General features: G+C 42.5%; 1 protein-coding gene across 1 annotated transcript in view, besides 1 other annotated feature; it reads left to right on the forward strand.

Moving 5' to 3' along the window:
- The window catches only part of TTLL5 (tubulin tyrosine ligase like 5), a 293,834-nt gene that overhangs the window by 236,688 nt on the left and 29,563 nt on the right, over nucleotides 1-27,583 (forward strand). The window contains exon 31 of the mRNA NM_015072.5: nucleotides 4,209-4,291. Within this exon, the coding sequence (NP_055887.3) occupies nucleotides 4,209-4,291 (83 nt within the window). The remainder of the gene's footprint in view (nucleotides 1-4,208; nucleotides 4,292-27,583) is intronic.
- Nucleotides 19,326-19,827: an enhancer, noted in NCBI's record as "NANOG hESC enhancer chr14:76383602-76384103 (GRCh37/hg19 assembly coordinates)". NCBI's record gives its function as "activates a minimal SCP1, AML or CMV promoter by ChIP-STARR-seq in primed H9 embryonic stem cells {active_cell/tissue: H9 hESC(primed)}" and the evidence as "EXISTENCE:reporter gene assay evidence [ECO:0000049][PMID:30033119]".

Below are 27,583 nucleotides of genomic sequence, written 5' to 3' on the forward strand. Positions count from 1 at the left end.
TTAAGGACTAGATATTCACATCTATCACTCTTCTCATGTTTGAACTCTAACTTTTGTGTAGTGTAAAGTTAATGGCACCTTTTGTCCCATCTTTTCAGTATTTCTCACTGTCAAGCTCTTGATACTTCTATAACTCCAGTTTTTCTAACTTCATCTTTAGCCACTTCTTTATATTCTGGTGTACTATGACCAGAGAACATCAGATAATGGAACTGTATCACACACATATTTAACTTTATACATTCAGCTATTCAGAGAGAAATTGATTGTAATTTCAACAAAGTGGCTGATTCCAATTGATTTTACACTTAGGATAAGATGGGAGAAATATCACTCCAGTCAGTCAGTTTCAGTTCCCGTGGGACTTTCTTATAGCAAGGGCATCCCACTGCACTCTTATTCTCACGCTTAAAGATACATATTTTAGGCCAGGTGCAGTGGCTTATATCTATAGTCCCCGCACTTTGGGAGGCCAAGGCAGGCAGACCGTGTGAACCCAGGGGTTTGAGAGCAGCCTGGGTGACATGGCAAAACTCTGTCTCCACAAAAAATACAAAAATTAGCCAGACCTGGTACCACACGCCTGTAGTCCCAGCCACTTGGGAGGCTAAGATAGGAGGATCACCTGAGCCCAGGAAGTTGAGGCTGCAGTGAGCTGTGATTGTGCCACTACACTCCAGCCTGGGTGACAGAGTAAGACCCTGTCTCAAAAAAGTAAAAATAAAAATACATAGTTTATACAACATGATCCCATAATACAAGCCTACTTTTCTAAATACAAACCTACTTCATTTGGTGCACAGTTGAATAAATCATTCTGACACTGGCAGAAAAATACATATTAGATTTATTAAGAGATAACCTGTCAATCTCAAATGTGGCGTCTCTTCCTAAGGGATCTTAAGAATAATTTTTACTATGAGATTTTTGTCTTATAGGCTGCCAGTTAATTACCTTGTAACTTTAATAGCAAATTGCTGTTAACTTCCAGGTTCAGAATGCCTATGGCCATTCTTCTGTAGTTTAGCACTAATATTTCAGACTGATGTTGGAGTCAATGAGTCATTCAATTTGATATTTCTGTATGTAGATAGACTTATAGTGAATGCAGAGAGTGTTAAGCAGTATTGCTAAGTAAAAAATGACAATACTACTACTAGTAATAGTTCATGTATATTTAGTCCATAATATAACACCAGTCACTGCTTAGATGTGCTTTATATTCACCATCTTACGTAGTCTTCAAAAGCCTATAAGGTAGGTCTTGTTATCCAGGTGTTAAACCATAGTAACTGACTTAAAGACAACCAAGGGAACACATACATACCTCCCAACGTAAATATTTCCTAAAACACATGTATTCCTAGGAAAGCAGCAAAGAATCATTGCAGGGGCAAGTGCAAGTTGACATGCAGGCTCTAGACAAGCTGAGTTTCAAAAGTTCTCATTTAGGGGAAGGTTGTCCAGAAGTTGGAATATATTTTCCCAAGGAAATGATGTTATCACAACAAAAGCATATTTACCCATAATGTGCCTAAAGTAGTAATAACAGACCTAAACCATTTTGTGTACCAGTGTTTCCATGGAAAAATTCACTCAAAAGTTTCCCCTTGGATTGCTGTGGACACATTTCTACATCACAGGGAGAATGGGGACTCTATGCTAGAAGCAGTAGAATCATTAGAAGTGTTCAAATTCTGAATCTGTGGTGGTCTCCAAGGCCTTTGATGGGAGTTGATGGGAGGGAAGAGGATGGAAGAGTGAGTGAAACTGGGAACCAGGGACCATAGGGTTAGAGGATCTTCAGTAAAGAACGGGATAAAGCCTAAGAAGGTGAAGGGTGGATTGGGGGTTCCAGAGAGGAGAGGGAAAAGTTTCAAGAGTTTTAAAGACCCAGAATTCATTGAGTCTAAGCCCCCAGGGACTCTTCTCATCCCTCAAGCAGTTTTCTATTATTCACTACCAGTTTCTACTACTGACCCAAAGATTTTGCCGGCTTCTTCCCTTTTTTTTTTTTTTTTTTTAAACCACTAATACTTTGTGAAATTGAGACCAGCCCAGGGCTTTGCTCCACTCAGCTGCTCCTAAAGCAAGCACAGTGGCTCTAATGGTTTTTAACTTCTGTAAAGGAAAGAGCTTATCTTAGGCCCTCCAGAACTTTTTCACTTGGACATGGAAGAGCAAACATCATCTACAGATGCTTTGGGAGAGTTTTTGGGTCCCATAAGGGGCTGAAATAAAATGCGTGAGGATTTCCGATGTGGCTGTCCAAGGCCGAGGCTGATGGGAAAAGGGAGAAGCTCTCTGCCCCTTTCTCTCCTGCCTCTGTGGCTCCCTTGTCCTCAAAATGAAAGTGGAAAGGAGAGGGTAGGCCCCAAATTGCTTGCCAGAGGGGAGGGGCTATGAGACAGTCTGATCCTTGCGCCAATGCTGGGCTAGAATCTTCTCAAGCGGCATGTCTCTTTCAGGGTTGTAGGGACTGTGTGGGCACCTCAGACACCACCTGACTCTCCAGGTGCACCTCATACCACTTTGCTCTTTACCTACTAGCCAATGATGATATGAATCACCTGGGCACCTGGGGCACTGTCCCCAGGCTCACCTGGAAAGCTGTGTGATTAACAAGTGACCCCAGGTCATTCCTGTCAAAGACATTCAGCAAACACTGCCTGACTGTCCCCACCCCTATCCTATCTCCTTAGCTGGTCTTTAAAGGTTCCTGGGACATTCCAAGCCCCTTTCTGCCTCAGAGTCATTATATATGCAATTTCCTCGTGAAACGCTCTTTCCTCTCCCTCCTCCTGGCTAATGCCTACCTCTCCTAACTTCATGACTCCCTTGAAATTATTTCCACAGAAAGACCATCCTTGACCACTGTTCTCATCATCTAAACCAGGTTCCCCTGCCTCGTTCTCATAACACTGTGTGCTTTTTCTCTTTAGCATTTAGCACACACTTTGTGTTTTATGTACGTGCTTTAACGTATCTCCTCACTAGTACAGAACACAGGAAATGCTTGATAAATATTTCTTGTGTGAATGACTGACTGGAAAAATAGTGTCGGGAGAGAGATACTAAAGGTTGGGTTGGATGTTGCTCAACAAAAACAAAGAACTGAGCATGTTGAAAGCTTTGATCTCTCAGGTACAACTTTTACACATCAACTAAAATCAAGGCAGATAGACCCAACAAAAATATTATATTATAAATATACAACAAAAATATTACAAATATTTCAAAAAAATTTATAAATATTTGATGTGTGCAAAATGCAGCAGCAGTGAATAAGACCAATACAATCTCTGTCATTATGGAGCTTACATTCTAGCAAGGGTGATGGATACTAAGCAACCAGTTACACAGTTTCATAATTATAATTTTGAAAAATGCAAAGAAGGAATTAGAGCTGTAAGCGCCTTTAACAGGGAGGCTTGACTTGGGCTGTAGGGCATCAGACTAGTCCTAGGATTTCTGAGACATATGGCTAGGGAACCTCTGCCCAAAGAATCAGATATACTCTGTCATATCTCTTGTCAAAGTTGGCATGAGGGGAGATGCTGTGTACATTTCTCAGTCTTGCGATTATTGACACCATGGAGTAGATAATTCTTTGTTTGGGGCATTTTCCTGTGTGCTGTGGAATGCGTAGCAGTATTCCTGGCCTCTGCCTGCTAGCTGCCAGTAGCACCCCACAGTTGTGATAACCACAGATGTTTTGACATTGTTGGGTGTCCCTGGTTGGCTCAGGGGACACATAATCTCTCCTTCCCCACTTCCCCAGTTGAAAACCACTCTTCCACATGAGACTTGCTTTTTTAAAAATGTGTTTTCATATGATTTAGGTAAGTCAATGCCAGAAATATAATTTTTTCCTTCAATAAACAACTATTTATTGAGTACTTGTTATGTGTCAGGCACTATTCTAGGCACTGGAGACACAGCAATGATGAAGGCCCATGCTTTCTTGATACTACATTTCAGTAGGGAGAAATTAACAATAAATCTCAAAATATATACTATTTCAGAAGTGTGGAGGTTTGTCATAGAGTCTTCTCTGATAAGGTGACATTTGAACAAAGCCTTGAAGGAAGTGAGTGAATGAGCCACAGGAGAAGCAGCACCAAGAGCAAGAAGCGAAGCCATCAGAGGTCCTGCACCTGACCTCACCTTTCCGCCTGCAGGTCTGACCAAGCTCCTTTGTGTTTCAGAGGGTCCTCCGCGGAAGGGCAGCTGAATGGACTCCAGAGCAGCCTTAACCCTGCAGCCTTTGTGCCCATCACCAGCTCTACAGGTTAGTGGGCACCAGCTCTTCTGCAACTGGATAGATGACAGGGAAGGTGTTGGGCTTGGCACATTCTCTCTTCTGCCTCCAAAGAGAGCCCCAGTTCAAAGAATGAAACATCTAGCCTCTCAAAACATTGGCAAATGGGCATTTTTGTTGCATTCTTCTTTAAAATAGTCTTGGCAGCCTAAAATAGGCATTTTCTGGAACTAGCTTGGGGTAAATGAAACCTCGCCATCTTATAAAATGCTGTCAGATTTGCAGCATTTAATACAGATGTCCCATATTGACTGGTATTTCACTGTCTATGTTGTATTTCCGCATGTTGTATCTCTCACTTAATTCTCACACAGCCCTGTGAGTTTGATCTTATCCCCTCCACATGAGGAAACAGGCTCAGAAAGTTGAGGGCTTGTTGAAGTTTATGCGTGGATGCAGAGCTGGAGCTCTGGTCTTTGATCTACGTGTTGTGCTAATGCCATGGTCTGTGGACAGGTTGTTACTGACAGCCTGAAGCCTCTCAGTGTAGGTGCATACAGATAAGTTAGGCAGTGTTGGTCCAGAGATAGTTTCTATGAATAATAATTAATAAAAATGAACTATTAAGTCAGAAAATTGAACAAATATTTATTATTGAGTACCTACTCTAGAGAAAATAACATGCTGGGCACTGAGATACACACCGGGTGAACAAGACAGTCTGCTCTTAGGGAACTTTAAAGGAGATAGAAAAGTCAGCAGGGAATGTGCTGCAAAGTGGGTATTATTGCATGCCTGAGACACATAGAATAACAACAGACTACATTGACTGAGGATTTGCTATGTGTCAGGCACAGTTCTGAATGCTTTATGTGTAATAACTCACTTGTTCACTGAACAGGCACATAATGTAGGAACTATATTCCCCATTTATGGCTGAAGAAATAAAGGCACAGGCAGATTATCAAACTTGTCTGAAGTCTCACAACTAGTAAGCAGTGGGGCATATTTGAACCTAAGCAGTCGAGCCCAGATCTCTAGGGACTGGGAACGGCTTCCTAGAGGAAAAACATCGAAGCTGACACTGGAGTGTGGACGAGTCAGCCAGGAGAGGAAAGGCACAGGTGGAAGGAGTTCTAGGAAGAGGGAACAGTGCAAGCAAAGACCGGGGGGAAGTGAAAACGTGCTGTGTTCCACAGGCTTCCATGGATCAGTGTGGCTGGGGACTGGGGCATGAGCAGGGAGTGGAAGGGGAAAAGGTTGTGAGGTAGTAGGGCCATTTTATGAGCCATGTAGGGAACTTGGTCATTGCCCTGACAGCAATAAGGAGCCATCGAGGAGTTTTAAGCAGGAGGGGGCTGGGTGGCTAGGGGTCAGGGATTGACATAATACACCTTAAAATGATTACAAGATCTCTGAGAAGCTCAGGCCAGGTACAGTGGCTCATGCCTATAATCGCAATGCTTTGGAAAGACGAGGCAGGAGGATCTCTTGAGACCAGCCTGGGCAACAAAGTGAGACCCTATCTCTACAAAAAAAAAAAGTTTTTAATTAGCCAGGTGTGGTGTGACATGCCGCTAGTCCTAGCTACTCAAGAGGCTGAGGTGGGAGGATCACTTGAGCCCAGGAATTCAAGGCTGCAGTGAGTTGTGATCCTGCCACTGTACTCTGGCCTGGGTGACAGGGCAAGACCCTACCTCTAATTTAAAAAAAAAAAAAAAAGCCAGTTACTTGACTACATCCTGGGGATAATTATATGTATCTCATAAGGCTTATAGTAAGGATTAAATGAAGCAATATATAGGGAAGGCGCTATAACTACTGTAACTACACCCGGGCCACTACTACCTCATAACCTTTTCTCTTTCCACTCCCTGCTCATGCCCCAGTTCCCAGCCACACTGATCCATGGAAGTATGATAGGAGTATAAGGATGTGTTCTCCACTGAACATTTTAGAACCTGAATTCAAGAAATACTTGATGGGTATCTATTCACCTCACTCCTCCAAAAAAAAAAAAAAGGAAAGAAAAAAAGAATTACTAGAACATGGTAGTTAACTATATTTTTAAGAAAGTAAACCTTCACCTGGGATTGTTATGAACTGCGAAGTAATGGCACAAGGGAATCATGGCCAAGTGTGAAGGATTTCTGTGAGATACCCTATGAGAACCCCTTTGGCTCTTCAAGTTTGCTTCTGCTGGAGAAGTTCACAAACCCAAGGAGTTCCCTGACTATACTTCATTTGCGTGTCTGATTGATAAATTAAGTGTTGAATTGAACTTTGCATGCACTCCAGCTGAGCCAGTTGGAAACTTGGGTGGTCAGGTGGGTCATACTTGCAGCATCTTGACCGTGAATTACTGTTTACTGACTCTTGGTAACGTTATTTAGAAGATTTTGTGGCACTCATACTGAACTTGGTGTCAGTATGAAACCACAGAGCAAGAAGAAGAAGTTGTATTTCTTCCTGGCTTCTCATAGTGACCTTTCCCTGCTAATTCTACTTTATGGTAACAAGCAGATCATTCTTCTTCATTGTTTAGGTAGTTTATTACTTACTGCTTTTGTCACCAATAGGCTCTGGGCCTCTGAACTTTTCGAATTTGTTTCTACTCTGATTTTTCTGGTGTTCCTGATCGTTAGTTAAAGAAACACTGAGGTGCATGATATAGTAAGCTTCAGGCATTTTCTATACTTCCCAATGAACATTTTACCTTCACAGCATTAGTAACTAAATCTGTTACAGTTATTTGTACAACTAGTAAGTAACTGCCAGGCACACCAACATTTGAACTGAAAATCATTTGCTTTCTGTATTACAAGTAGATTTAAAGCAGTTCTATCCTAGGGGTTCAGAAGGATATCCTACAAAAAGGAGATTAGGTTCCTAGTAGCAACATTTTTCTGTAAACCCACAAGAAAGAAGAACAACTCTCATAATAAGTCTAAAAGTTTACACCTCTCCCTGAGACCTGGGAAGCGTGTGCCTATGTAGGAATCCCTAAACCATCTTTGAAAGGTATTTAGCCCATCTGGTCCAGTTAATTCAATCCGTTAAACATGATATTGAGTCCAAGACTATAGCAGAAGTCTGTTTTCTAGTTCCTTAATTCTTCCTGTAAGTCTTGCCTGCCAGGCTTTCGGCTGTGTGACTGTTCTCTCGCAGTCTGAATGAGATAGTGATTCGTCCCAGGGCACTGTTGAAAAACAACTCAGAGTCCTTTCCTATAGATGGTGGCTTAATGGCATTCTTGGTATTATGAACATTAAATGAGATAGTGAATTGAAAGCTCTTAGCAGAGTACCTGGAGTACTCCATGAATGTGGTTTTTCCTTGACTTACCAACCTCAGGCTTTATATTAGTAGTTTGCTGTGGAAGGGAAGTTTTAGAGTCAGCAAATTTGGAAACTTGAGAAGGAAGCTGGAGTGAGAGCTCTTGGCCCAAAGCCAAAGTCGTTGGCCTTCCTTCTTTATAACTGTGGTGTTCTTCTTGAGTTCTGAGGTGGTGATGGTAAACTAAAATAGCAGAGAGCAACAGATTAGATAACTGACATTTCTCTCATGCTGATTTGATAATGTAAACTACCATTACTGTAGGAGTCTGAAGCCGCAGCAGCTGCCCTCATCCCTGCCCCTTAGCTTCTGCCTAAGCCTTTCCTGTTCTGGAGCCCAACCTCTCCCTCCTTTTATTTTTAAGCTCTTAGTAGTCTGCAATTGGTGGAAGGGACCTTACCACCTTTAGAAAATCAATGATGGATTTCATGTGCAAGCAGTGAGCAGTGTCCTTATTAAATGTTCGTTGTTTCTGGCCCTAGTAAAATGTACTATAGCTTTGTGCTTTTTGGATGGGGATGGGGCAACAGCACATCAGTGTGACTCTGACTGCCCACTTCGTTGGGTCCCTGAGACAACAAGAGAAAGGAACATTACTATATAGTAAACCCTGTGGAGCCAAAACCCTAAGGATCTAGATGTCACTTTAACTTTCAAGCAAAATTACTTGCCTGGCAGCTCTCAACAGAATGGCCTATTTTCATGATCAGATTCTTACTCTTTTCACCACGTGTTGTATAGTTTTTGGAGCTCCTGGGTGGATCTGGAGTACAGTCACATAAAACCCCTGATTGCTCCCCAGATTTTCTTTCCAGAGCCAGAGGGGTAAGAATTTGGGTTGATCACCCACTTTTACGCTGTTCAAAAGCAAAAGAGAGACTGTGAATTGGAATTTGACAGGAAGTGGGGTGGCGTTATCTGGGGGAACGGTGATCCCCTTAACCTAGTTTCAGATTTTACCTTGTGTCCTTTGGGCCAAAATCAAATGTAGTGTTAAGTAGAGATACTTTTTTCCATTTTTCAGGATCTTTGGATACTCCCCAAGTTATTTTCGCCACATCCAAACCCTTGCCCACACAATCTGAAGCCCTTGCTACAGTTATAGGACAGAGAAAATCAAAGTCGGTGAAGTCAGGGCCAATTTAAGGTAACGGTAAGAATAAGAGCATATTTTTATCATTTTCACTTGCTGACTTTATACTACAGCAAGAGACTTAGTGGCTACCAAAAGAAGTTCTAGCTTCTCAAAATGACAGTGAAGTTGGGGCTTTATAAACCAAAACTTAGAAGGATGCTCCCAAACTGGGTCAAAGTTGAGCTCCAAATAGTTTGCTCCTATAATGGTCTACCAGTAGGTGGCGCTGTGGCAGTAAGAACTTTCTCTACTATTACTAGAGGCTTTTGTTTAAAAATACGAGGATTTTAAGACAATTCAAATAAAGAAACTAAAACCATAATTGAGTTATCACAAAGTATAACATAATATATGGGAAAACATGATATTTGAAGGTAAAGTTGCAGTAGTTGCAAAAGAGAATGGATATTTATTATTAAGGCTTTTAGACTAGAATTTATAAACTGGACTTTCAGATTATGGGAGGCAGGGAGGGAACAAATTTTTTTTCAAATTTTGGTGAGGTTGATGAATTGTGTTTTTGCTGAGTTACTTAAATAAACATATGCTATAATTAGCAGCAAAACAAACTGTAAACCTCATCCTCCATCCAACCAAAAAAAGCTCATACACCGAAGGCATGGTCTAACTTGATTTTGTGAAGCTGTTTCCACACTTCACCAGCACTGCCGTCAGTATTTTGTTCCCAGCCATGGCCTTCAAAATTTTCCAGAAAATTCTGCGAAACTTCAAGGCTTTGATAATTCCTTTCCTCTTTGTTCTGCCCTACACACTGATGCATTAACGGCACACCTGCCATGAGGCTAATACTCTTCTTACCTCTGGGGGAATATTTATAAACTTATTTGAGAAACGTTATTCATCAGAATACCCCAGGAGTGCAAAAGAGAGAGGAAAATTATTTACCCACCACAGGATTCATTTACATTGGATCAGCAAGCTTCAAATATCTTTCCCTAGCCCATCTAAACTCTTCCCAGAAAGGAATGAGAAGAGAGAAGGGAACACCAAATCCATGGCTTGGTCATATACCAAAATTTACTGGAGAAACTGAAAACAACCAGAGTTCTTTTGGTAATTCTTAGCCAATGGCCCTTTAATTCTGATACTAAGCAGCCTGTCCAATGATGAACAACTAATAAAATATAGAAGACTAAAGCAAGAAGGTCAGTATTTCCCTTAGGAGACTGGCAGCCAGAAGAACAAATGTGACACCAAGCTCCAAACTAAACTGATGGCCTGCCAAGAAGTACTCATGTCCATCTGCTTCTAGGACTGTGATACTTGGACCTGCCACAGTTATAATATCACTTTCCTTGAACCTCATTCATTAGTATCCTTTACAATCCACCCTGAACATTACATGGCAAAATGGGACCATCAGCAAAAGAAGCCTTGGGAAAGAGCCCATTTCTCAACATTTTGATCTCTGTTGCAGATACAGCCATGCTGAGCCTGAGCTGTGTATAAGCGAGGGATGACTGATGCTGTGCTTTGTGATTAGCTGAGGCGATGAGACAGCATGTGTGTATGGACAAAGAGGACAGAGTGGATCAGAGGGTCTCAGAAGTCCAGCTCCTATGACACGACTGTCACTGCTGGGAAGCTGCAGAGTCAGGCCCACCAGCCTGGCATGTGGCCGATGGCAGTGGGCTGCATCTCTTGAGCAGAAGAATTAGGTTGTTTACAAAGTGAGGAGGCAGAACCCCACAGGCCTCAGCCCTCACCTGAAGCATGCTTTCTTTTTATTGCAAATGCAGTGCAGGCAGCAGAGGTCCCTTCAACCATAATCACGAACGAATGTCATCACCGGCCATGACAGTCCTAGAACCTCTTCATATGTGGGTTTAGAGAGGCAGTCAGGTTAGAGAATTTGAGTTGTGTTTGCATTACATGTTTTATAAAACTGAGAAAAACGTCAGTTGTCCTTATCAGAGTGGAGGGAGCTGTGCTGAAGGATATTAGGAGCAAAGCCTGTGTATGACCCCTGTATGCTGCCCAGGGCAAGTGTCATATTTAAATACCTACATTGTTCTTTGTTTTCTTAGATTCTGTATTTGTCTGTTCATCAGAGGGCTAATTATATTAACTATATTTTCTTATTTTCTGTATGTATATATATATTTTTTTAGACAGGGTCTTGCTCTGTTGCACAAGCTGGAGTGCAGTGGTGTGATCACGGCTCACTGCAACCTCCGCCTCCTGGGATCAAGCGATCCTCCCACCTCAGCCTCCTGAGTAGCTGTGACTACAGGCATGTGCCACAATGCACAGCTAATTTTTCATATTTTTAGTAGAGATGGGGTTTTGCCATATTGCCCAGGCTGGTCTCGAACCCCTAAGCTCAAGCAATCCACCTGCCTTGGCCTCCCAAAGTGCTGGTATTACAGGCGTGAACCACCACACCTGGCCATTTTCTGTATTCTTAGTGCCCTGGCATTTGGGATCCTTGCAGGCCCAGGCGAGAGAGTGCCTTTCACAGGGCTAGTTAATTCCTAAACGTAGTAACAACTTGTCCATGAGCACATCTTTTATATGCAAACCAACCAGTCCTGAGTATCTACACCCAACCTCCTTATCAAACTTTCACACACCAACCCAAAATTTCCCCTGCCCTAAAATCGTCTCAGGGCCAGGTACCAGGCAACTAGATACCATCCCTATACCCTGAAGCCCCCTGGAATTATCTAAACTAGCCAATCCAGCCAATCCAAAGCTGTTTAATTGCCCTGCCTTGCCTTTCCTATGGAAGCCCCAGCAAAGGTTCTGACCTAGGCTTTTCCCCCCACTGCTGTCTTCTGCCTCCAGACTGACACTGGTGCATTCACTGTGACCCTGCTTAGTGTGCAGTGACCCCCTCTCTGGGAGCTGTCAGAATAAACGATACCTTCCTTCGGAGCCTTGTTTTTGTTTTCCTCCTGTGGCCACACCAACTTTGACATACCGTATCCAACATGTACATTCTTAGAACAAACATTAAGAGGATAAATATCTTTAACTTGCGATACAAGGAACCAGGAAGAACCATGAATTAGGTTTACATCACCCAGTTCTAAGCAACTGGGCATAGCACTTCATCCGTAGCCTGTGTTACACAAGTGATGTTTTAACAGTATGTGTTTTGCTGGCATTGACCTGGCTGTAGCCACACAAGAAGGATGTGGATCCCTCTACATGGCAGAATCACCTGGCTGTCAGCCATTGAAGTGCATGCGTTCCTGTCCTGAGGCCTCTTGCATTTCATTTAGTAACTGTTTCTACATTCAGAAACAAAACCCAAGTATAGCTGAACAACCTGGTTGGAAGTGAGGAAGAAGACAGCCTGGCTTTTAGTTTGGGGGAGAGAATAGGGGTACTTCTAAGAATCTATCCAAAAGGGGTTCATTGGCCTTGAAGAAAACCAGAGAACTCCATTTCTAAAATGGATTAAGAGATAGGCTATGGAGGAAGATAACATCTGAAAATTGATATTTTTTTCTTGCTGAACTGGCAAAATCCCAAGAGAGGAGTGATGATTCTTCAGTTATTAACAATTACTACTTTGTTATAAAGAGACACGGGAAGTACAGTGGCCCCTTTCTCAAATTACACTTACATTACAGAAGCACACACACCTCTTGGAAAAAAATGCCTGGCAGCCTGGATTGTTAGAATTGTGCCTACTCCTACATCTTGCTGCAGAGTTGTGTGGTCCTGTGTAATATCCATGCACTTTGGACAGAAGACGATCTAGTCTATTCTTGCAGTCCTGAACTGGGCAAGTAACCAGCATAAGGCTGCCCTTCTTTCTGTCTTTATATATATCACTCCAGGTTATCGATCTGTTCACTGTGGTTATCCATCCTGTGAACCCACACATCTTATAGCCACATACCTTTGCTTTATTGTCCTCATATCCTCAGGGCATAATTGCTCCTGAAAGTTCTAAAGAAAGAAAATGACATGCTAAGCCACGCCTGTCTTTGGAAAAAGCAAGCTTTCCACACGGAAATATTTACACCTCTGCTTACCTGATCTGTAGAGTTTGAACCAGGTCCCAAAAAGTGTAGGTAGATAATAGCAGGGCTTGGAGAATGATGACTTGAAGTGTATTGCCCTGTTGGCATGATTTGTATTGATTTTTATCCTGTATTCTTTCAAATTGTGATTATAAAGAAAAAGACTCAGATTCTCTTAAGTCCTCAAAATGAAGAGCATTACTAAAACTAAAACAGTAGTCTCTTATACTTCTTTGTTCTCGTCTTTTGAACATGCAGGTATTTCCAGTTTGCACCATAGATGTCAAGGGGCTCCCTTCTCTTAAAACTTGAATGCAGGGTTTTTTTGTTGTTGGGGGGTGGGTGGTTGGTTGCTTTTGTTTTTGTTTTTGTTTTTTTGAGTCAGAGTCTCGCTCTGTCACCCAGCCAGACTGGAGTGCAGCGGCATGATCTCAGCTCACTGCAACTTCCGCCTCCCAGGTCCAAACAACTCTCGAGCCTTCGCCTCCCGAGTAGCTGGGATTACCGGCATGCGCCACCATGCATGGCTAATTTTTTTTTTTAATTTTTAGTAGAGACAGTGTTTCACCATGTTGGCCCGGCTGGCCTCGAACTCCTGACCTCAAGCGATTTGCCCACCTTGGCCTCCCAAAGTGCTAGGATTACAGGCATGAGCCACCGCGCCCAGTCTGGTTATGCAGTTAGTTGATACCAGAGAGGAGTAGCTTGAATGTGTGGACTTGCCTTCGCTATAATAAAACATAGCCTCTATCCCCATTATAAAATGGGGAAAGAAGTTAGAAAACCAACCTGATTTTAAGATGATGAGGTGAAGAAAAAGCAGCTGCTTAGAAGTTGCTGTATGTATCATTTAGTTGTTTGGTGTTGGTTAGAAGAATCACTCTTATTTTAATATCTAATGAACTGAAAAGTGAGAGTGAGGTATTTTCCTTCCCTTTTTATTTATTTGTAATTTGATTCCCAGGGAAATTAAGACTTGTGACAAGCCCAAATGAAGATATTTTGGAATTTGACAGGAGAGTTTTTTAACTTATGCCTAAGCTTCAAATTATATTAGGCAATAAATTATTGATAGTTTTTAATCAGATACTGGAATATGGAATTTTCAAAATCACAACTCAGAAAAATGACCGCTCACAGGCCTTCTGTTTTATATTTATTCTTCCTTTTTAGTATTCTCCAAAATTAATCATCATCGTACATGTGTACATTTATTCTTATTATTACCACAAGAGCCTTCTGATGATCGAGAGGAGAGAGACCCTCAGTTCACCTCTGGAAGGGAAGTTGTTGTACATGAGCACAGGGAGGAATCAGTCTCAAGAGCCAGACCTCCTGAAAACCTGCAGCGTTGCTGAGAGAATCAGCAGCTTTACTGGCTGAACAGCAGCTCGGGTTAGCCCATCCCGTGGCCAGGTCATTTGCTGGCTCCTCCGCAGCCAGCTTCCATTGTTGTCTAGGCTGACAGCTCCGCCCTACTCATGACGTGACTCTCTCTATGGGATTGTTTCTCTCCTTTTTTTTTTTTACATTCAGTTTTCAGAAGACAGAATGGAATACTTCTCATTCATTCCTCCAGCAAAGTGCCCCTGGTGGGCAGAGCTCTCTCTCCCAGGCCTTAACTGGCCTAAATAAAGTGGGTGGCAGCTGCCTTCCAGACAGATGCCAGCCTGGTACTAGGGTAGTATGATTGTGTGATACAAAGCTGCCAATGTATGCATGTCTGACCATTTTTTCAGATGGGATTGTAGCTAGGCAGGTACAGCATAGCCTTTTCATGTCCAGCATAGGGTCTTAAAATATAAAACCACATGCAATAAAATAACAAGGTATAAAGGGAAAGTCAGGGCCAAAAAACAAGATAATTCCAAGTTTTCAAATATCAGCCTAAATAAACTTATTGTCGTTGAGGTGAAATTTGGTTCTAAGATTCCTAATAGGCAGGGCAAACAGGGAAACATGATAAATTGGAGTATATAGTTCTCACAATCAAAAAGGAAGAAATACTCCAGGGAAAGTCAAGATATTTCCTAGTATTGGTTCTAAAGGAAGTATTTTACATACTTTATATACAAGACACCTAATAAAGTAGTAGTCAACTGCTAATGAACTATTAAAAAATAGTCAATAGTAGCTTCTCAGTCAACAGGCCAATAGAGTGCTGTGTTTCATATGCCTACTCCTTGGCATGAACTGTGCAAAGATAAAATATTATAGTACACGTCAATGAAGACAGTTTTGTGAGGGGACAAAAGGAATATAGTCTAAGTTTCCTTGTGGTCTTCGTAATCCAAGGGTAAGATAATGGTTATTTAGAGGATTGGGTGAATTGCATGTGTCTTAGGCAATCCTAAATATAACTTCTCTCAATTGATTGCTTGATAAGAACTAGTTGTGCTCTTAGGCAAGGATCCAGATACCTGGTCTTTTATCTTACTGTTTGAAGATGCGTCTATTAATATATGCTTGGGAAAGCAGGTGGCAGAGGTAACATCTTCTGAAAGCTTTGGCAGCTAAGCAGTATTCTCGCTCTATCATGTGGCATGTTGATTGTCTGCTCCCTGACTCCCATACACAGTTTCCTCTGCCTAGGCACCATCTCCCCACTTTTGCTCCCTCCCTCCCCAATATGCCTATTCCTGTTTGTCCTCAACCACTTTTCTCCTGTCCAGCCCTACCCTATGTTAATCTGATTTAGATGCTTTTGACTCTGCTCTTTAGAACTCTGTAATTACCTCTATCATGGCTTTTACAATACTCTAGGATCTTTATGGTTACTTAACTGCTCCCTCTACTAAGCTTGAAATTTCCTGGAATGCGAGGATCAGGTCCAAGTGGACTCTAAAACTCTAGGGTCTAGCATAGTGCCCAGCCTGTAGTAGGGGCTTAAGAAATCCCAATTCAGAAAAGAAAACAAAAAATAATAAGGTGACAAATAAATAACCAAAAATAAAAAAGAAATTCTGATTGAATAGATGAATGAGTAAATTTTCATATTTCTGCCTTTTTTTATTCTTCTACTGACATTTGGAATACCTGCCTACATATGCAAATTCTTCCTATTCTTAGGCCAAGCTCAGTGGCTCACACCTGTAATCCCAGTACTTTGGGAGGCCGAGGTGGGCAGATCACTGGAGGCCAGGAGTTCAAGACCAGCGTGGCCAACATAACGAAACCCTGTCTCTATTAAAAATACAAAAATTAGCTGGGCGTGGTGGCACACGTCTTTAGCACCAGCTACTCGGGTGGCTGAGGCAGAAGAATTGCTTCAGTCCAGGGAGGCAGAGGTTGCAGTGAGCCAAGATTGTACCACTGCGCTCCAGCCTAGGCGACAGAGGAAGACTGTTTAAAAGGAAAAAAAAAAAAAAAAATATATATATATATATATATATTTTATCCCCTAAGGGCCCAGTTAAGTTTTTTGTTTTGTTTTGTTTTTGTTTTTATTTGTGTTTTGAGATGAGTCCCGCTCTGTCACTCATTTATCTTGTCGTTTAAAAAATTCCTAGAGACCTACAATTTATATCACAAAGTTTAACACTTCTTCAGATTTTGTCATCTTTTATCACTGCTTACTTTTTGGGTGAATTGTCTCTTCAATAAGACCATAAACTTTTTGAGGGCAGAATTATATCTGTATGTTTCTTCAATCCCTAGTAATACCCAAAATGTTTCATTACTTTGTATTGTAGACCCTAAAGAAAAGAACACATACATACATAAAACTTTTCTGAAAAATAGTCCATTTCCTCTGTTCTCCTGGATTTAAGTCAAATGCCTAACCTCAGAAGATAAAATCTTCTAATGAAGATTTCATAAAAAATGCATTTTATTATTAAACAGTCTTCAAAATCAGAATAACCTTCCTTATAAATTACCTGGTATTTCTATCCCATTTCTTGCAACATTGTAAAACTACTTCCTGTAAAATAATGAATGATTGATCACTACTCTTGTTTTTTTTTTTTTTTTTTTTTTGAGACGGAGTCTTGCTCTGTCGCCCAGGCTGGAATGCAATGGCCCAATCTCGGCTCACTGCAAGCTCCGCCTCCCAGGTTCACGCCATTCTCCTGCCTCAGCCTCCTGAGTAGCTGGGACTACAGGAGCCTGCCACCATGCCTGGCTAATTTTTTGTATTTTCAGTAGAGACGGAGCTTCACTGTGTTAGCCAGGATGGTCTCGATCTCCTGACCTCGTGATCCGCCCACCTTGGCCTCCCAAAGTGCTGGGATTACAGGCATGAGCCACTGTGCCCGGCCGATCGCTACTCTTTAGATAACAACATCTGCTACACATTCCCAACCTTACTATAACTTGTTACATGGTAGATTTCAGTATGAAGATGTTCCATTTTAGACCACATTCAAGAATCTCATTATAAGGGAACAAAGTTAAAATGAGATTGAATTTATTTGGAAAACATTCGCTTTCAGCTTTTTTTTTCTCCCCTCTACATCACCTAACTAACTGGAATTGTTTATTGCACAGATCAGATTTCTCTTTTGAACACTGAACTGTCTTTCTTATCTTCTGAACTCACCATGAATTCTTTAGGTTCCTCTTAAGTTGTGTAATACCTGAAACTGAACACCACACTCTAATCTGACAGGTGTTGAGTATTGTGTAAAATTTATCATCATGGTTCCGGAGTCATATGTTACACTTTAAATGTGCACAGTATTCCCAGAAACAAAACCAAAGTTCTCTCAACCCTTACTTGTTACCTTCCTTACTTCTTTTTGCTTCACAGGGCCATGCAGCATTACCACTGCTGTTGTCAGTAACAATACCTAAGTTTTGTAAGAATTCCAGAATGCAGGGTGGAAAGATCATAACTGTGAAGTTAGACTGACCTGTGTGGGCCCTGTCACTGTCCAGTTGGCAACTTTAGGCTAATCACTTAACCTCTTTCAGCCTCAGTTTCCTCATCTATACAATAAGCATAAAAATATCAATCTTGCAGGATTGGGATATGAAGATGATAGATTGCCTCAATAGCAACAGCAAAAATTCCTGTATAAAAATGGGTTAGAATAGACATTCAAAGAAGATATGCAAATAACTAATAGGCACATGAAAAGATGCTCAACATTGCTAATCATAAGAGAAATGCAAATCAGAACCCATGGTGAGATACCACCTCACACCTTTAGGATGGCTACTATTAAAAAAGCAAAAAATAAGTCGGACATGGTGGCTCCTGCCTGTAATCCTAGCACTTTGGGAGGCCAAGGCAAGAGGATCACTGGAGGCCAGAAGTTCAAGACCAACCTGGGCAACACAGTGAAACACCGTCTCTACAGACAATAAAAACAATTAGACAGGCATGGTTGCACACACCTGTAGTCCCAGCTTCTTGGGAGACAGAGGCAGGATTGCTTAAGCCCAGAAATTCAAGGCTGCAGTGAGATATGATCGGGCTGCTGTACTCCAGCCTGGGTGACAGAGCAAGACTGTCACAAGAAACAGAGAGATAGAGAGGGATGAGGGGAGGAGAGGGAGGGGAAAGGGAAGAAGGAAAGAAGGGAAGGAAGGGAGGGAGGGAGGGAAGAAGGGAAGGGAGGACTAAAAACTAACAAGTACTGGGGAAGATGTGGAGAAATTGGAACCCCGGTGTACTGTTGGGAATGGAAGATGGTGCAGCTACTATGAAAAACACTATGGTGGTTCCTCAAACAATTAAACATAGAATTACTGGCCAGGTGCAGTGGCTCACACCTGTAATCCCAGCACTTTGGGAGGCTGAGGCAGGAAGACTACTTGAGGCCAGGAGTTCAAGACCAGCCTGGGCAACATAAGGAAACCCTGGTTCTACGAAAAATAAAGTAGCCAGGCACAGTGGCACATGCCTATAGTTCTAACTACTTGGGAGACTGAGGTGGGAGGATCACTTGAGCTGGGAGGTCGAGGCTGCCATGATCCATGATCACACCAGGGCACTCCAGCCTCGGTGACAGAGCGAGACTCTGTCTCAAAAAAACAAAAAAATTGAATTACCATATGATCCAGCAATTTCATTCTGTGTGCGTATGCCCAAAAGAATTGAAAGCAGAGACAGAAACAGATATTTGTATCCTCCTAACAGCATTATTCACAGTAATCAAAAGACAGAAGCATCCCAAGTGTCCGTCGGCAGATGAATGAGTCAACAAAATGTGGTCTATGTATTCAGTGAAATACTATTCAGCCTTCAAAATAAAGGAAATTCTGCAATAAGCTACAGCATGGAACTTTCAGGACGTTATGCTAAGTGAAATGAGCCAATCACAAAAAGACAAGTACTATATGATTCCACTTATACAAGGTACCTAAAGTAGTCAGAATCGGAAAGGTAGAAAGTAGAATGGTGGTCAGCAGGGGGTGGGGAGAGAGGGGAATAGGATGTTTTTGTTTAATGGGCACAGAGTTGCAGTTTTGCAGGATGCAGAGTTCTGGAGCTGAATGATGGGATGGTCGTGCAGCGTGAATGCACTTAATGCCACTGAACTGTACACTTGAAATTGTTAGGATGGTAAAGTTTATGTTACATGTATTTTGCCACAATTTTTAAAGAAAGATTATAGATTGTGTATGTATTATACCCCAGATTAGGTGTTTTTGTTTTCTCGATTTTGCATTTGAGGAAACTAAGGCTGAGAGAAGTTAAGTAGCTTGTCCAAGCCACACGGTCAATGATGGAGCTGAAATTCACACCCAAGCAGTTTTTTTCTAGAAGCTGCTGAACTGCTTCTTCATCTGAAAACTCGGCCCGTCAAGGTGATTTCATTTTATCAGCTTCCTTTCCTAATGGAGCTAAGCGGCTGGTGATCAGGCCCTGTGGCCTCCGCCTCCCTGCAGTGTCTGGTTGTTATCTCAAATGGCTCATTAGGGGGATGCCTGGCAGTAGGGGGGCATGTGTAGTTTAGGCTGGCTGTCTCTTTATCCAGCCATTTAACTTTCTCTTATTTAGATGGAGCCAGACCTGGAGAGGGAGGATAAGGAGCAAGGTGGGCCTTCTGCCTCTACTCCCCTGGGTGGGGGTGATCTGGGATCTTTCCCACATGCCCGAACCGCCTTCGAAGGGACAGCAGTTCTGGTTGGCAGAGGAAACATGGATGTAGATGAAGCTCTGCAGCAGAGGGTGGAGCTGAAGTGAGGAGGTAGGAGGTGGGGGAAAAGCCGAGAGGGCTTGGGAATCACCCCTGGATTAGTTAAGAGAGCATTCCCTGCAGGTAACAGAAACTCCGAGAAATCAGTGGCAGGGTAAGTAAGGGATTTATTTTTCTCACATGTCAAAAAGTCTGGAGACAGGAGGTCCAGGGCTAGTGCTGCTCTTCAGAGACATAACTGAGGAGCCAGGCTGCTCTCTTTCTGCTCTACTAACTCTAATGCATTGGCTTTCATTTTGCTGGTCATAAGATGGTTTCTGTTCCTACCGGCATTGTGTCCATGTTTCAGTGAGAAGAGGGGGAAGGGCAAAAGACAGATGCCAGGTCAATCTGTCCCCCTTTCAAAAACACTTTCTTGGAAGCCCAGCAGTTCTAACTACCATATCATTGGCCAACACTGGCTCCCTTGCCTACTTCTCCTTAGCAACAGAGGTGTCTAGAGAGGTGGTCTTTTAGCTGGGCACATTGCCTTCCCAGTCAGATCTGGGCTCTTTTATTGAGGAAGAAGGGGGGATGGCTAATGATATACATCTACTGGTTTCAATCACAGCACATTTTCTTTCCAGAGACTCCACCCCTGCTGGAGGAACTTCATCACACTTCTGCAGCCCCTCTACCACCAGCTTCTTGACTGCTATAAATAGATACGTTGTTCCTTGACCCAAATTTGCCCCAGTCCTGTCTACTAGTACATGGAGTTGGGGGTCCCTATTACCTTTCAGTTACAGTAACACATGAGAGCCCTCATGTTTCTGGAAGTGTTTAAAAGGTCACCGTAAATGAGGAAGATGGAAAAAATGAGCCATAGAGAAAAAAAGTACCCTATAAATATACTTATCAAAATTATAAATTTGCTCTGAGTACAATATAAAATTATGATATATCACATTCATTCACATAAATTATTTACTATTTGATTATCCTTCAGCTGAATAATGACTATGTATACTCTTAAATTATGGAGATTAATATTGTTATAACTTTAATTTTATTATGATAGTAAATTCTGTTCACGAATGTTGTCTTCCTAAGATTTGCTCACAGTATAGCTGCTTTAAACACTGAGACAAGTTATTAATGATTCCTGTTTCATTTAAAGAAAAGCTTCTGGCCAGTCGCAGTGGCTCACACCTGTAATCCCAGCACTTTGGGAGGCTGAGGCAGGTGGATCACGAGGTCAGGAGTTCGAGACCATCCTAGCCAACATGGTGAAACCCTGTCTCTACTAAAAATACAAAAATTAGCTGGGCATGGTGGCACGTGCCTGTAATCCCAGCTACTCGGGAGGCTGAGGCAGGAGAATTGCTTCAACCAGGGAGTCAGAGGTTGCAGTGAGCTGAGATCACGCCACTGCACTCCAGCCTGGCTCCAGAGCAAGACCGTCTCAAAAAAAAAAAAAAAAAAAAAAAAGGAAAAAGAAAAAGAAAAGAAAAGCTTCCTTGTGCTCAGGTCTTTGCTGAGATTCTCCAAAAAGAATAGGACAGGGAGGGGCCTGGTAACTTGAAAAATCCAAAACAGAAGTTCACTCAGCAGTATGGAGTCATAATTTTAAAAAAGGATTTTAATCTAATAGTGAATATAAAGCTACAGTAACCAAAACAGTATGGATGGGATAGAATTAAATGTCCAGAAATAAACTTATATATCAAATAGCCAATTGATTATTCAGTGGACTAGTCTCTTCAACAACTATTCAGTGGTACCAAGACTATTCAGCGGAATAGTCTCTTCAACAACTGGCATTTGAACAGTTGGTTATCCACATGCAAAACAGTGAAGTTGGACCCCTGTTTCACATCTACACAAATATTAACCAAAAATTGATAAAATACCTACATGAAAGGGCTAAAACTATAAAATTCCTAGAAGAATACATAGGAATAAATCTTCATGTCGTTGGATTAGGCCACAGTTTCTTAGCTGTGATACCAAAAAGTACAAGCAACAACAAAATTAGACAAGTTGGACTTCATCAGAATTTTAAAATTATGTGCTTCAACGGATACCACCAAGAAATGTGAAGGACAAACCGGGTGCAGTGGCTCACACCTGTAGTCCCAGCATTTTGGGAGGCCAAGGCAGGCAGATCACTTGAGCTCAGGAGTTTGAGACCAGCCTGGGCAACATGGCAAAATCCCATCTCTACTAAAAATACAAAAATTAGCCAGGCATAGTGCCTCACGCCTGTAAGTTCCAGCTACTGGGGAGGCTGAGGTGGGAGGAATGCTTGAGCCCAGGAAGTGGAGGTTGCAGTGAGCTGAGATTGCACCACTGCACTCCAGCCTGGGTGAGAGTGAGATCCTGTCTCAAAAGCAACAACAACAACAACAACAACAAAATGAAATGTAAAAGACAGCCCACAGAGTGGCAGAAATTATTTGCAAATCATTTATATGGCAAGGGACTTGTATCCAGAATATATACAGACCTCTTGTAGCCCAACAATAAAAAGATAACCCAATTTTTTTTTAAATTTAAGTTCTAGGGTACAAGTGCACAACGTGTAGGTTTGATACATAGGTATACATGTGCCATGTTGGTTTGCTGCACCCATCATATTTCTCCTAATGCTATTCCTCCCCCAGTTCCCCACCCCTCGACAGGCCCTGGTGTGTGATGTTCCCCTCGACCCCTGTGTCCAAGTGTTCTCATTGTTCAGTTCCCACCTGTGAATGAGAACATGCGGTGTTTGGTTTTCTGCTTTGTGATAGTTTGCTGAGAATGATGATTTCTAGCTTCATCCATGTCCCTGCAAAGGACATGAACTCATCCTTTTTTATGGCTGCATAGTATTCCACGGTGTAAATGTGCTGCATTTTCTTAATCCAGTTCTGTCACTGATGGACATTTGGGTTGGTCCAAGTCTTTGCTGTTGTGAATAGTGCTGCAGTAAACATACAAGTGCATGTGTCTTTATAGTAGCATGATTTATAATCCTTTGGGTATATACCCAGTAATGGGATCGCTGGATCAAATGGTAATTCTAGTTCTAGATCCTTGAATGGTTGAACTAATTTACACTCCTAACAACAGTGTAAAAGCGTTCCTATTTCTCCACATCCTCTCCAGCATCTGTTGTTTCTTGACTTTTTAATGATTGCCATTCTAATTGACATGAGATGGTATCTCGTTGTGGTTTTGGTTTGCATTTCTCTGATGACCAGTGATGATGAGCATTTTTTCATGTGTGTGTTGGCTACATAAATGTCTTCTTTTGAGAAGTGTCTGTTCATATCCTTTGCCCACTTTTTGATGGGGTTGTTTGTTTGTTCCTTGTAAATTTGTTTGTGTTCTTTGTAGATTCTGGATATTAGCCCTTTGTCAGTTGGGTAGATTGCAAAAATTTTCTCCCATTCTGTAGGTTGCCTGTTCACTCTGATGATAGTTTCTTTTGACATGCAGAAGCTCTTTAGTTTAATTAGATCCCATTTGTCTTTTTTGGCTTTTGTTGCCATTGCTTTTGGTGTTTTAGTCATGAAGTCCTTGCTCATGCCTATGTCCTGAATGGTATTGCCTAGGTTTTATTCTAGGGTTTTATGGTTTTAGGTCTAACATTTAAGTCTTTAATCCATCTTGAATTAATTTTTGTATAAGATGTAAGGAAGGGATCCAATTTCAGCTTTCTTCATATGGCTAGCCAGTTTTCCCAGCACCATTTATTAAAAAGGGAATCCTTTCCCCATTGCTTGTTTTTGTCAGGTTTGTCAAAGATCAGATTGTTGTAGATGTGTTCTGTTATTTCTGAGGCCTCCGTTCTGTTCCATTGGTCTATATATCTGTTTTGGTACCAGTACCATGCTGTTTTGGTTACTGTAACCTTGTAGTATAGTTTGAAGTCAGGTAGTGCGATGCCTCCTAAGCTTTGCTCTTTTTGCTTAGGATTGTCTTGGCAATGTGGGCTCTTTTTTGGTTCCATATGAACTTTAAAGTAGTTTTTTCCAATTCTGTGAAGAAAGTCATTGGTAGCTTGATGGGGATGGCATTGAATCTATAAATTACCTTGGGCAATATGGCCATTTTCACTATATTGATTCTTCCTATCCATGAGCATGGAATGTTCTTCATTTGTTTGAGTCCTCTTTTATTTTGTTGAGCAGTAGTTTGTAGTTCTCCTCGAAGAGGTCCTTCACATTCCTTGTGAGTTACATTCCTAGGTATTTTATTCTCTTTGTAGCAATTGTGAATGGGAGTTCGCTCATGATTTGGCTCTTTGTTTGTTTGTTTGTTTGTTACTGGTGTATAGGAATGCTTGTGATTTTTGCACGTTGATTTTGTATCCTGAGACTTGGTGAAGTTGCTTATCAGCTTAAGGAGATTTTGGGCTGAGACGATGGGGTTTTCTAAATATACAATCATGTCATCTGCAAACGGACAATTTGACTTCCTCTTTTCCTAATTGAATACCCTTTATTTCTTTCTCTTGCCTGATTGCCCTGGCCAGAACTTCCAACACTATGTTGAATAGGAGTGGTGAGAGAGGGCATCCTTGTCTTGTGCCGGTTTTCAAAGGGAATGCTTCCAGTTTTTGCCCATTCAGTATGATATTGGCTGTGGGTTTGTCATAAATAGCTCTTATTATTTTGAGATACATTCCATCAATACCTAGCTTATTGAGTGTTTTTAGCATGAAGGGCTGTTGAATTTTGTCAAAGGCCTTTTCTGCATCTATTGAGATAATCATGTGGTTTTTGTCTCTGGTTCTGTTTATGTGATGGATTACGTTTGTTGATTTGCGTATGTTGAACCAGCCTTGCATCCCAGGGATGAACACTTGATCATGGTGGATAAGCTTTTTGATGTGCTGCTGGATTCAGTTTGCCAGTATTTTATTGAGGATTTTCGCATAGATGTTCATCAGGGATATTTATCTAAAATTCTCTTTTTTTGTTGTGTCTCTGCGGGGCTTTGGTATCAGGATGATGCTGGCGTCATAAAATGAGTTAGGGAGGTTTCCCTGTTTTTCTATTGACTGGAATAGTTTCAGAAGGAATGGCACCATCTCCCCTTTGTACCTCTGGTAGAATTCGGCTGTGAGTCCGACAGGTCCTGGACTTTTTTTGGTTGGTAGGCTATTAATTATTGCCTCAATTTCAGAGCCTGTTATTGGTCTATTCAGAGATTCAACTTCTTCCTGGTTTAGTCTTGGGAGGGTGTATGTGTCCAGGAATTTATCCATTTCTTCTAGATTTTCTAGTTTATTTGTCTGATGGTAGTTTGTATTTCTGTGGGATCAGTGGTGATATTCCCTTTATCATTTTTTATTGCGTCTATTTGAGTCTTCTCTGTTTTATTCTTTATTAGTCTTGCTAGCAGTCTGTCAATTTTGTTGATCTTCTCAAAAAACCAGCTCCTGGATTCATTGGGTTTTTTTGAAGAGTTTTTTGTGTCTCTATCTCTTTCAGTTCTGCTCTGATGTTAGTTATTTCTTGCCTTCTACTAGCTTTTGCATTTGTTTGCTTTTGCTTCTCTAGTTCTTTCCATTGTGATGTTAGGGTGTTGATTTTAGATCTTTCCTGCTTTCTCTTGTGGGCATTTAGTGCTATAAATTTCCCTCTACACACTGCTTTAAATGTGTCCCAGAGATTCTGGTACGTTGTGTCTTTGTTCTCGTTGGTTTCAAAGAACATCTTTATTTCTGCCTTCATTTTGTTATTTACCCAGTAGTCATTCAGGAGCAGGTTGTTCAGTTTCCATGTAGTTGTGTGGTTTTGAGTGAGTTTCTTCATCTTGAGTTCTAATTTGATTGCACTGTGATCCGAGAGACAGTTTGTTGTGATTTCTGTTCTTTTACATTTGCTGAGGAGTGCTTTACTTCCAATTATGTGGTCAATTTTAGAATAAGTGTGATGTGGTGCTAAGAAGAATGTATATTCTGTTGATATGGGATGGAGAGTACTATAGATGTCTATTAGGTCTGCTTGGTGCAGAGCTGAGTTCAAGTCCTAGATGTCCTTGTTAATTTTCTGTCTTGTTGATCTAATATTGACAGTGGGGTGTTAAAGTCTTCCACTATTATTGTGTGGGAGTCTAAGTCTCTTTGTAGGTCTCTAAGAACTTGCTTTATGAATCTGGGTCCTCCTATATTGGGTGCATATATATTTAGGATAGTTAGCTCTTCTTGTTGAATTGATCCCTTTACCATTATGTAATGGCCTTCTTTGTCTCTTTTGATCTTTATTGGTTTAAAGTCTATTTTGTCTATGTATTTTAAAGACTAGGATTGCAACCCCAGCTTTTTTTTTTTTTGCTTTCCATTTGCCTGGTAGATCTTCGTCCATCCCTTTGTTTTGAGCCTATGTGTGTCTCTGCACGTGAGATGGGTCTCCTTAATACAGCACACTGATGGGTCTTGACTCTTTATCCAATTTGCCAGTTCGTGTCTTTCAATTGGGGCATTTAGCCCATTTACATTTAACGTTAATATTGTTATGTGTGAATTTGATCCTGTCATTATGATGTTAGCTGGTTATTTTGCCTGTTTTTTTTTTTTTATTGATCATTCTTGGGTGTTTCTCGCAGAGGGGGAGTTGGCAGGGTCATAGGACAATAGTGGAGGGAAGGTCAGCAGATAAACAAGTGAACAAAGGTCTCTGGTTTTCCTAGGCAGAGGACCCTGCGGCCTTCCGCAGTGTTTGTGTCCCTGGGTACTTGAGATTAGGGAGTGGTGATGATTCTTAATGAGCATGCTGCCTTCAAGCATCTGTTTAACAAAGCACATCTTGCACCACCCTTAATCCATTTAACCCTGAGTGGACACAGCACATGTTTCAGAGAGCACAGGGTTGGGGGTAAGGTCACCGATCAACAGGATCCCAAGGCAGAAGAATTTTTTTTGGTACAGAACAAAATGAAAAGTCTCCCATGACTACTTCCCTCTACACAGACACGGCAACCATCCGACCTCTCAATCTTTTCCCCATCCTTCCCCCCTTTCTATTCCACAAAACCGCCATTGTCATCCCGGCCCGCTCTCAATGAGCTGCTGGGTACACCTCCCAGACCGGGTGGTGGCCGGGCAGAGGAGCTCCCCACATCCCAGTAGGGGCGGCCGGGCAGAGGCGCCCCTCACCTCCCGGATGGGGCGGCTGGTCGGGCGGGGGGCTGACCCCCCCACCTCCCTCCTGGACGGGGCGGCTGGCCAGGCGGAGGGCCGACCCCCCCACCTCACTCCCGGACGGGGCGGCAGGCCGGGCAGAGGGGCTCCTCACTTCCCAGTAGGGGCGGCCGGGCAGAGGCGCCCCTCACCTCCAGGATGGGGCGGCTGGTCGGGCGGGGGGCTGACCCCCCAACCTCCCTCCCGGACGGGGCGGCTGGCCGGGCGGGTGGCTGACCCCCCCACCTCCCTCCCGGACGGGGCGGCTGGCCTGGCGGGGGCTGACCCCCCCACCTCCCTCCCGGACGGGGCGGCTGGCCTGGCGGGGGCTGACCCCCACCTCCCTCCCGGACGGGGTGGCTGCCGGGCGGAGGGGCTCCTCACTTCTCAGACGGGGCGGTTGCCAGGTGGAGGGTCTCCTCACTTCTCAGATGGGGCGGCCTGGCAGAGACGCTCCTCACCTCCGAGACGGGGTCGCGACCGGGCAGAGGCGCTCCTCACATCCCAGACGGGGCGGCGGGGCAGAGGCGCTCCTCACATCCCAGACGGGGCGGCGGGGCAGAGGCGCTCCCCACATCTCAGGCGATGGGCGGCCGGGCAGAGACGCTCCTC

The sequence above is a fragment of the Homo sapiens genome, chromosome 14, assembly GCF_000001405.40.
Source record: "Homo sapiens chromosome 14, GRCh38.p14 Primary Assembly".
Classification (NCBI taxonomy): Eukaryota; Metazoa; Chordata; class Mammalia; order Primates; family Hominidae; genus Homo; species Homo sapiens.